The sequence below is a fragment of the Homo sapiens genome, chromosome 3, assembly GCF_000001405.40.
Source record: "Homo sapiens chromosome 3, GRCh38.p14 Primary Assembly".
NCBI lineage: Eukaryota > Metazoa > Chordata > Mammalia > Primates > Hominidae > Homo > Homo sapiens.
The window spans coordinates 70,849,178-70,860,354 of NC_000003.12; the positions used below are offsets into that span (position 1 = coordinate 70,849,178).

The 11,177-nt window shown below is 39.7% G+C and overlaps 2 annotated features.

The window, feature by feature from the left end:
* Nucleotides 4,377–5,576: an enhancer, noted in NCBI's record as "MED14-independent group 3 enhancer chr3:70902705-70903904 (GRCh37/hg19 assembly coordinates)". NCBI's record gives its function as "activates an origin of replication core promoter dependent on BRD2, BRD4, P300/CBP and CDK7 cofactors, and independent of MED14, by STARR-seq in HCT116 cells {active_cell/tissue: HCT116}" and the evidence as "EXISTENCE:reporter gene assay evidence [ECO:0000049][PMID:35650434]".
* Nucleotides 5,531–6,031: an enhancer, noted in NCBI's record as "H3K4me1 hESC enhancer chr3:70903859-70904359 (GRCh37/hg19 assembly coordinates)". NCBI's record gives its function as "activates a minimal SCP1, AML or CMV promoter by ChIP-STARR-seq in naive H9 embryonic stem cells {active_cell/tissue: H9 hESC(naive)}" and the evidence as "EXISTENCE:reporter gene assay evidence [ECO:0000049][PMID:30033119]".

Consider the following 11,177-nt stretch of genomic DNA (forward strand, 5'->3'; position numbering starts at 1 on the left):
AACAGCATGGTGGCGGGCACCTGTAATCCCAGCTACTTGGGAACCTGAGGCAGGAGAATTGCTTGAATCCGGGGGGTGGAAGTTGCAGTGAGCCGAGATCACACCACTGCACACCAGCCTGGGCCACAGAGCAAAACTCCATCTCAAAAAAACAAAATAAAACAAACAAAAAAACACTTTATTTTACAAGAGGAAGTGGTGATATGCTTAGAAAGTATAGAGAAACTGAAATCCCTTAATTGGGATTTCAAGTTGTACTTTAATTAAAAAAAGACCAAGGTGACCTTCCAGTGAAAAACTCTACGAAACACAGTATGAAAGAAAATGAGAGGAATCCGACATACCTTTCTTCATCTCTCATCAGCTTGACCCTCAAATTACCCAAACAAAATGTTCCAAAACTGAAATTCAAAAGTATTCCAATTCCTTCTTTGCTTGCTTCCTAGAGGAAATATTTATTTATTTTATATATTATATATATATATATATATATTTTTTTTTTTACAGAAAACCCTATCTGGCAAACAAAAAAGCATGCAAATTAATTAAGCAGAAGAACCTTTCTTACGAAAGGTACACAGAAGGCCCAAAAACACATTAGACATTTCTAAAGATCACAAATTAGCAAACACTGAAAGCGAGCTGTCAAAAAAAAATAAAGAAAAAAAGAAAAAGAAGCCTCCTCTGAACATAAGGTTCTTAAAAGACATTTTGAGAGGAATTAAATCTCTTGCACCTTTTAAACTCTCTTTCTCAGCTATCCATAGAGTTCGCTAGAGATGGAAGCAGCTCAGGGTGACACACCCTTCACTTATTTGGGGAATGTGATTTTCCATCCTGCCATTTCCTGGCACCCAGACAAGTGTTATAAAAATATGTCATCATAAGCAGCCTAGAATAAATACTCAGATCTTCAGGGTTGTTTATCATTTCTCAAATGTCTTCCCCAGTTTTTACAATCCTAGCTCTTTGTTACATTTGGGGAGGATAGGTTGTTTGGAATACTCCAGGATGGCCAACCCAAAGGTCGTTCACATAGGCCAGGGAGCATTCCAGCATGTGGCAACATGCCAGGAGGCTTACACTGAACCAATTTTACCTAGATTCCTGGCTCGAAGGATGCACATTCAATCCATTAAAATCAGCCCAAATGTTTCCTTTTATTTGATGTGATTATTTTTGTTTAATTATGATCTTTGTCTTCTTGGCCAATGAATAAAACGTAATAGTATCTTTCCATAGAAGTTGAAAATGTACAACCACATCAGTGCTATGACATTGAATACGTTTAGGTGCAAGACGCCACCATAGGAGCCAGGGAACAGGGAAGAGAAAGTTGAATTCACACAGTGTCAGTCCTGCAGGGGCTCAGATGGGCAGTGGAAGGAAAAGATTCACACTGACCAATTCAATCAAGTCAAGTAAGTACCACCTCTAGAATGCAACCTACCTTTTATGGTGACTCTTTTGGTCTGGCCTCACTCTATTTTATAAAAAGATTCTACACTTGTTCATTTAACATACAACTAGGACTAGTTAGTTAAACTCTCAATATATACTGGAATTAAACTAAATCTAGATTCTATAATTTTTATATTCTAAATCGTTATATATTTTTCATTAGAAAATGTGTCAGGGGATAGTGGCTCACACCTGTAATCCCAGCATTTTGGGAGGCCGAGGAGGGCGGATTGCTTGAGCTCAGGAGTTCAAGACAAGCCTATATAACATGGTGATACCGCTTCTCTACAAAAAAATTTTAAAACTAGCCGGGTGTGGTAGTGCACTCCTGTAGTTACAGCTACTCGGGAGGCTGAGGTGGGAGGATGGCTTAAGTCCTTTTTGAGTGGGACCGTGTCTCAAAAAAGAAAGCAACAGTACTGACCATTTGGAGTATGGCTTCGTGTTAGGTACTATTTTGAATCACCTTCCAATGGTTTAATGAACTTGTACTGAATGGAGATGTGCCTTGGTGTGTGTTTGTAAACAAGTCCACCAGCCAAGACATACATGTGTAAACATCATCACACATTATAGCAGGATGTCTGTTACCACAAGGATCTGGCATTTCACATGACCTTAAAGAGCTCCTGGAGGCTTAGTTTTCAATGACAGCCTGTTTCATCTGTTAAATAAATAACAATACTTAGCTTTCATATTGTTATATTCTGCCTTTTGAAACATTTCCTGTAGCATGACTTTGCCAGTACAAAGCTGGCTTTTTAAGTGATTTGTCTGTAACCAGGCAGTTTTAGAACTTTTACTTCCTTAGTCTGTGCTAAAAAGCAATTCAAGAAGACTTAAAATTCTCCTGGGGGCTGATTTTATAGCAACAGTGAAAGCGCACAAACGTTGCACTAGCAGCCAATTTCTTTCTTCAGTGAGGAAACAGCATCGCCGGTAGAGCCTCAGCACAAATGGTTTAACACCATCGTAAAAACCACTAACCATTGGGTATTAACATACTTTTTATCATGAAGTTTTTATTGAAAATGATATTTGGAAGCTACTAATTTGGCGGTGATTTTTACCCTCTGGCATTGAAGGTGGATGCAACTTAACGTGCTTGGAGGACCACGGAACACCTTGGCCCAGCCAAGCTGGAGAAAAGAGATCTGCTTTCTCACCCGCTGCCTTGGTGGTCGTGAGCTCAGCTGCAGGGATGGGCAGTGGCTTTCGGATTCTCCTCCCAAGGCATGCTCAGCCAAAAAAGAAACAACTCCCACTCTGTCACCACCCTCATCCCTAGAACCGTGCCATAGGCCACTTGGGGAGGGGCTCGTACTAGCACGAGGCCAGTCTGTGCCACTGGGAGAGCATCACTCTTGGTCTTAGCATTGGCCCTACACAAAACACATGGGAAAACCTGTTCCTTTCTCAAAAAGAAGTCAAAACAGACTGCACATGCACATAGATGGGAGAGATGCATCCAAAAAAAAAAAGAGAGAGAGAGAGAGAGAGAAATGTTTGTGCCCGCATTCTTCATTCCATCTGGCACACGATTGGAGTAAACTTATCTGGGCAAATGTCGGGCTCCGATCATTACCCTGAAAACCCTAGGGCCCTTTTGGAGAATGTCAGCGAGGCCATCGGTGTCGGTGTATGGGTGGACGGTGCATGTACCACAGAGCCAAATGTGAACCCTACACACGCCACCCAGAAAAACCTGGGCTTTTCCCAAAAGGAAGTGAAGACAGACCGCACGCTCACGGAAATAGCGTTTGTGCCTTCCTGCCATCTGGAACAGGAGCCCGGCAGGAGTAAACTGACGGGGGGAGTAAAATGCTGCTTTTTCCCAATACGTAGTTACGTTAGATCTGGATGTACCCAAACTATAGAGGGTCAAACTACAGCCAGATTTTCCTGTAAAATGTCACCTTCCATCTCAGGCTCCTGAAGAAACTCATGTCATTACCCACTGGCAAGTGGTTTATATGACAGTTTCAAGATGTTTGTATGTGTGTAGAAAACGTGTGTGTGTGAGTATGTAGAAACTCTATTATTAGGGTTGTTTTTCTTACAGAAAAAAGAAATTGTTCATGAAGAGTTGTAAGCATTTACTAGAGGATAAAATGTTCTGATATTGGGGTTTTGTTTGCTTCTTTGACGTTCTATTTGGCTTGGTTTGGTTTACATTAACCAGTCCAAATCCTACCAAAGAGACCAGGTTACCGGCCCCCCACGTCACTCTTTCCATTTTATTTTAGAATCATACCGGGTTCTTATTAAAAATGGCCCTGTAAGAATAACTGAATCTGGATCTTTGGAAATGATCCGTAAGAATGTGCATCCCACCCCCACCCCAGCACGCCCAGGTGACTCCAATATACACTAAAGTTTATGAGCTCCTGCCTTACAGATTTCATGGTGTGGCTTGTTATATAGCTCACTTTAAATAATGTAAAGGTCTCAACTTTCAAGTTTCTCCTTTGTTCTTTTCAATATGTCCTCAGTGCTAATCACAAGCAAAGGTGAGCTTTCCCACTTGAATTGGTGCCCATCTGTGGGGTGATCCGAGTGAACTGAAGGGGAAGAACTGTAGATGGAACTTCTACCAGACAAAGGAAAGCTTCCGCTTGCTCAGTATGCATTCTTTGGAGACAGCTATCTTCTCCAAAAATAATAAATGACTGAGACATGACAAAATTCAGGATTCCCAGGACATTTTTTTTAAGTGAAAGAGGCAAAGCCTTTTCCCAGCTCAGCAGTTAATTTAGCACATTAAATGACCGTGTGTCCTAATGGCAGTCTGGCCATGCCCTGGATGGCTGATCAGAAGTTGTGAGCAGATGTTGGAAAATTCACTGTGACTGAAACAATCTAATAAATAAACGGGTTGGAGGATGGGATGGCCAAGGTAGTCAGCTTGTTATTATTTCTAGCTGTGTAGTTTCCACTTTGGTCTAAGCAAACAAGACTCATCTATTCAACATTTAGAATACAACAATGAATATTCAATCCTGGTTCTGATTTTTGGCAGAACCCAGCAAAATGAAAAAAGAAAAATCCTTTTCTTTCCCCTGGGGGTTTTGCAAATCTCCCTTGAAGGGGATTGGAGAAGCCTCTGCAGGAAGGCCAGCCCTAGCTTCAAGAAACTGCTTTGGTCTCTTTATGTATATTAGGACAATTAACATCTAGTTTCACCATACAAAGGACTTTCTCTCCTTTTATGTTTTAGTTCTTAAAATACCCAGAATGGTGTACAGTAAAACTGTTCACTTGAGAAATTAAGTACCGTATGTGATAAGACAGTTGGATGAAATTTTTAAGCTGTCATTAAAAATGATTATAATTAGGACAAACTACAAGAAAATGCTTTAAAATTGAGACCCAAGTGAATTAAAAATTAAGGGGTGTATTATGTATTATCATGTTGAAGGGCTGGGTTTTACGTGGCTAACACCCATTAACACTACCACAGGTTGCCTGCATAAATCCCCACATACGGAGACAAGAAGACACCCCTCTCATTTGTTTTAGCTGAACTGCCTGAGAACTTGCAGCATGCTAACAAGATAGTTCTTTCAGTGGCTCAAAGCTAGCAGGGCAAGGAGGAAATGTCAACAATGCATCGTTTCCTCTTCTGTGAGAGTTTCTCCTAAGAAATCTTTTCTATCCAGAGAGGACATTAAAATACTTCACACCAAGTTTGCGTTTTCTCTTATCCTGAAGTATGTCCCAGAACCATCAAGGGTGAACCTATAATGATGTCATTGAAATCGTCTTTATTCCCTCGGGGGTAAAAGAGTCTTTAGCCACTTACTCGCTTGGGAAAATTAGAATCAGACATGTTCAGTCATGCCCAAGTACCTAAAGGCCACACAGGCCAAGTTCATCTTACTATTAGCAGGTCCCAAAGATGGTGCAAAGTAGTCTGTTGCTTTCTTTATCAAGCCACATATCAGATCAGCCTACTTTCATCTCCCACAGGTCTCTGTAAGTTATCCTCCTCTCTTTGATCTCCTTTCATCTGCTATAACTCACCATCCATTAGCATTTTGCATCCCTCAGCCCTCCCAGGGACTCTCATAGATTGTGAAGAAACAGAATTTCAAAGCTTATACTTTCTTATACTAATGTTGACCTCTCGTAGCATTAGTTCAATGCACTCTTCAGCTAAGAAAATCCTGGACTTTTGGACCTTTTCCTCACCTTGGAGTTGGGGGAGGGAATAGCAGATATATGAAAGTTACATTAAGGGAGCAGACAGGAAGTCCTCTTTTGTCACGGCATCTTGAGGCAGAAGGAGCAAGGGTAACTGAACACCCAGGCCACAGCTACACATGTGCCAGCAGGGGTGGGCTCCCATTGAGTCGGTGTTCAATAAAACTGTGTTGATTGGCTCTCTAAGGTAGGAACTTAACTCATAGAACAAGGCAAAGACAGAAAGGCTTTTGTTTTTACAGAATTAATATTGGCAATTTTGATTATTCAAGAGACAACCCAAAGTACTATGGTCTTTTGCACTTATAATTGTGCAGATGTACTGTGGTGGGCAGAGGCTTGGCCTCCATCATCCCCACACCCTGGTATTCACACCTTTGTGTAATCCCTTCTCCTTGAGTGCAGACAGACATGTGACTTGCTTCTAACCACTGGGTTATAGCACACGGGGCTTCTAATCACTAGGATATAGTGTGTATTTACAAGTAATGATTACATAAGACTGTAGTGCTGTCTTGCTGGAATGTCTCCCTCCTCTTTTGCTGTCTAAGAGGCACACTGCCTTCAAGTAAGTGACATGTTGGCGAAACCCATGTGGCAAGGAGCTGTAGATAGCCTCCAGATGCTGAGAGTGACCAAAAGCTGACAGCTAGCCAAAAAAAAAAAAAAAAAAAAAAAAAAAGAAAAGAAAAAAAAGTGCTCTCAATCCTATAACCGCAAGGAACTGAATCTACCTACAACTTATGAGCAGGAAAACAGGCCTTCCCTGGCCAAGCCTCCACTTGAGACCCTACCCCTGGCTGACACTTCAGTTGTAGTCTTCTGAGGCCCGAAGCAGATAACCCAACTAAGCCAACACTAGACCATCTCATACAAACTGAGATAATAAAAGTGTATTGGCCAGGTGCAGTGGTACATGCTTATAATCCCAGCACTTTGGGAGGCCGAGGCAGTCAGATCACTTGAGCCCAGGCATTCAAGATCAGCCTGAGCAACATGACAAAACCCCATCTCTACAAAAAATACAAAAATTAGCTGGGCATGATAGTGCATGCCTAGAGTCCCAGCTACTCGAGAGGCTGAGGTGGGAGGATCACTTGAGCCCGGGAGGTCAAGGCTGCAATGAGCCAAGATTGCACTCCAGCCTGGGCATCAGAGTGAGACCCTGTCTCAAAAAAAAAAAAAAAATGTCTAAGTTTGCAATGACTTGTTATACAGCAATAGGTAACTAACACGGGTGCTAATTTGGATTCATGTATGGTAAGTTTAGATTTTAAGAGCTCATCCCTTGATTCATGAACGAGTACCTCAACATCACTTTCTTGCCTCTATACTTTGTCTTTTGCAAATGCCAAAATTCTTACTACAGATGCAAGAGAGTCCCTTAAATTTTTTCTGTGGTGCTTAACTACCATTTTTGGCCAAAATTATATTTGCAATGGTCTCAAGACATATCCCTCCCAAATGTCAAGTGTCTGCTACATAAGCTCACAGGAGAGATGAGACCTTTTAACAAAAAGTCTCCTCAGCCCTGAGTAGAGATTTATCACTTCACCTAGAAGAGAGATTTTTTTTTTAACTTTCTCATGTAAGACAACCTGTAGGACTGTTGCTCAGGAAGGCACACTGAAAGACTGCAAAACCGGGGTTCAATGATTAGACATATTGTTATAGGGGAAGCTAACTCAGTGTTCAAACTGAAGTCATTGTTAATGATCTCTAATATATTACCATTCCAGAACAAAAGAGTGTGGGTGGGTTGGTTAGATTAGATCACTCATTGCATTAAGCTTTTGGGGTTTTGTGGGGATTTTTTTTTTTTTTTTTGCAGGGGGACGGGGTTGGTAGGGGTTTTTGTTTTTTGTTTGTATTTTTGATTTTTTTTTAACTCTCAAGGTCTGTTAAAGATCTTGTGAATATTGATTTTGTATGTAAAAACCCCCTTACCTCTTTTCTCCTCACCCCTAACCCCAGCATTATAAAATCAATTTCTTCATCTTGGTTGAGCTTATGTTTCTGTATTTTTTAAACCACAGTAGTTTCTCCTATGATTCATAAGCTGAATTCCTCTATATGTAACACATGATTCAGCAAACCTACGTGATATGATTCCATCATCATAAGTAACCACATAGTTTGCTGTCGTGGAAGATCGCTAGACAATGCTTGTCCTCAGTCTAGATATTCATGGAAGCATCACCTTCCCTTCCTGGATGGAATTTTCAAGTCATGACATCATTGAAACCATTTATTGACTACTTCTTACAATGTGCCAGGCACAGTGCGGGTACTTCATACACATTTGGTTCATCCACGCTTTTGTGAGGCTGGTATTTGTCCTCTTATTTACCAGAATAAGAAACTGAGGCTTAGAGGCTATGTTTATATTACCTTCTATATAACACCTGTGTAAATTACATGTGGCGATTTGAAGGAATGATTTGATTCAGGGTTAGAAATGCCAGTGTTTGTATACCTTAAACAAAATGAAAATTTTCTGATCCTATTTCAATATAAGAATTATCCTAACGTAATTTGACATGTAAAGTAATAAAAGCCTCATTCCTCTTAATAGGTTTTCCCAGTGGCAAAATAAAGAAATCAAATTCTGGCATAGCTAATCAGCACACAGCCTATTTAGACCTTGGTTCTGGTCTCAGTTCTTTTTTTGGTTCACTCTGCAGCATTGGATAGGTCATGTCACCTGTCTCTGCTACAGTTTACTCATCTGTGAGAGGAAGGAAACATACTAAAATTTCATCTAAGGAGAGCTTCCAGCTCGAAGACTCTGTGCCTACCTTGTTATCATTATAATTTTTGTTTATTACTTAAACTTTTATTCTGATGACAAAAGCAACATCATATGTATACGTACGTACACCCACATATATATACATATACATATATATGCATATTTTAGGGGTTTATTTTTAAAGTAATGAAAGGCAAATTAGATTTCTTTCTCATTAGTCACCAACCATTCAGGAGCAGTAATGTCACTATCATTGATTCTGGTGTTTCGATCACAACTCTTCTGAAAAAGTGCCCGAGTTATAGTCATTGGGCATTTGGGGAATGTCTAGCCACCTCTTACCCCCGCCAACCTGGCTGGACTTCAAGATTAAAGCAGACTGATTAGCAAGGAATCCCTATTCCGGGCCTTAAAATGAAATCCCTGGGAGTTGCCAGACATAAAGTGATTTGATGCCAAAACATCCAGGTGGGGGAAAAAATAATAAATTATAGGGATATTTTATATATACAATTCCAAATATGGTTACGTGTAGTTTGGAAACATCTGGGTGATGAATTGGAATTTCACTTTTGCTTCAGCTCTTCGGCATAACGTAAACACAGCCTGCAAGTCCCTAGAGATAAATGGGAGAGTTGGAAACTGCAAAAGGTAGATAGAGACAAAATCAGATTTTAAAACTGCGTCCCGTGCTGCTTGCCAAGTGGGAAAAAATTCTAAAAATTCAAAGCAGTCCAGAGCATTTTCTCTCATAGTTAAATTAAAGATATAGCATCCCAGGTAGCTAAAATTAGAAGCTATTTTGCATATTCTTTCACCCTTTAGATGTAAAGTTTGGAGAAATATGTATTTTTTACATTTTAGTTTATATTTGTTTTAAAGGCCTATTAATGTGCTGTTGGTTACAGTTTTCTCCTACTGATTCTACATATGAACTAAGATTTGGGGCATTGAAAGAACTATTTTCTGAAAATAGTCTTCAAAAGTGCTATCCCTTTAAAAGTCCCAGATGAAGATATTTGCTATACAGCACAGGCAGTTACAGTATGAATTTTAAAGCCTTTCACATACAATTACTTGCAATAACTTAGTCTCTTTCCCAGCCTATAATAAATCATGTATATATAAATGCTACAGAATTTAAATATGAGCAGAGTTTTAGTATAATAGTATATCACTAAGAACCAGTATTTTTGTTATATATAGTACTGTTTAACATAAGTGAAGTAAAATCTCATTGATTTGGGTTTACTAATTCAGAGTTGGTGGAGCCGGCTTGAAGTTGACTCTTCATTAGGGAAGTCATTCTTCATAGAAAGCTCAAATTAAAGGTGTAAATAAGACTGCAAATGGGAATGTATAAAGTACTTAAGAGTAAATTTAAAGTACTTTAGAAGTACCATTTGCATATGAAATTGTTATGCTAATTATAAGTAATTCTTATTAAAGTAGGTCTCCTAAGATGATCTTCTAGGCAAGTTCCCTTAGTGAATTTGAGTTACAGAATGTGGTAGGAAGTAATAAACCAGAGTTTCTTTTAAATACTGTACTCGCTAATTCAGAATTTTCATTAATTGTAAATTATCTTCTTGCTAATTAATCCAAATTGCTAACATTTTGCTAGCAATGTCAATTCAGTTCCTAACTGTCTTTCTAGAAAGTTCAAGTAAGGTTTTAAAAATAGGATTAAATCGTAGCTTTCTAACTAAATTTTGTATTTCCCAACATCACACTGGTGCCGCTATTATGGTCTAACATTGTGTACAGTCAGCTCTCCATATCTGTGGGCTCCACAACTGCAGATTCAACCAACCGCAGACAGAAAATATGTGGGGGAAAAAATAACAAAAATTAACAATACAACAAAAAAATACAAATTTTAAAACAATACAGTATAACTATTTACATAGCATTTGCATTGTGTTAGGTATTATTAAGGGAGGAGACCACCCTTCGTATTGTCTTATGCCCAATTTCTGCCTCCAAAGAAAGAAAAAGTAAAAACTAAAAGGCAGAAATGAAATCCACAAGCAGACAGCCCGGTGCCACACCCTGGGCCTGGTAGTTAAAGATCGACCCCTGACCTAATCGGTTATGTTAACTATAGATTACAGACATTGTATAGAGAAGCTCTGTGAAAGTCCCTATCCTGTTTTGTTCCGATCTAATTACCGGTGCATGCAGCCCCCAGTCACGTACCCTCTGCTTGCTCAATCGATCACAACCCTCTCACTCGCACCCTCTTAAGAGTTGTGAGCCCTTAAAAGGGACAGAAATTGCTCACTCAGGGAGCTCGGCTATTGAGACAGGAGTCTTGCCGATGCCCCCGGCCGAATAAACCCCTTCCTTCTTTAACTCGGTGTCTGAGGAGTTTTGTCTGCGGCTCGTCCTGCTACATTATAAGCAATCTGGAGATGATTTAAAGTAAACAGAAGGATGTGCTTTGGTTATATGCAAATACTATACCATTTTATGTCATACATATCATGGACTTGATTATCCATGGAGTTTGGAATCCTGAAGGGTCTAGAATCAATCCTCTTTGGATACCAAGAAATGACTGTATTTCCCAGTGTTTAGAGCCGACGTGCAGGTAAAAGTTACTAAGAAAAATATAGAGTGAAGTAAAACTTTCCAACTAAGGTGACTCAAATTAGAATCGGTTGCCTCCTCAAGTAAGTGAAGTTCAAGACTAAAGTTTGTCAATAAAGAATCCAATGAAAAGCTAGGTGACAGAGAAAGCCAAGTACTAGACTAGCAG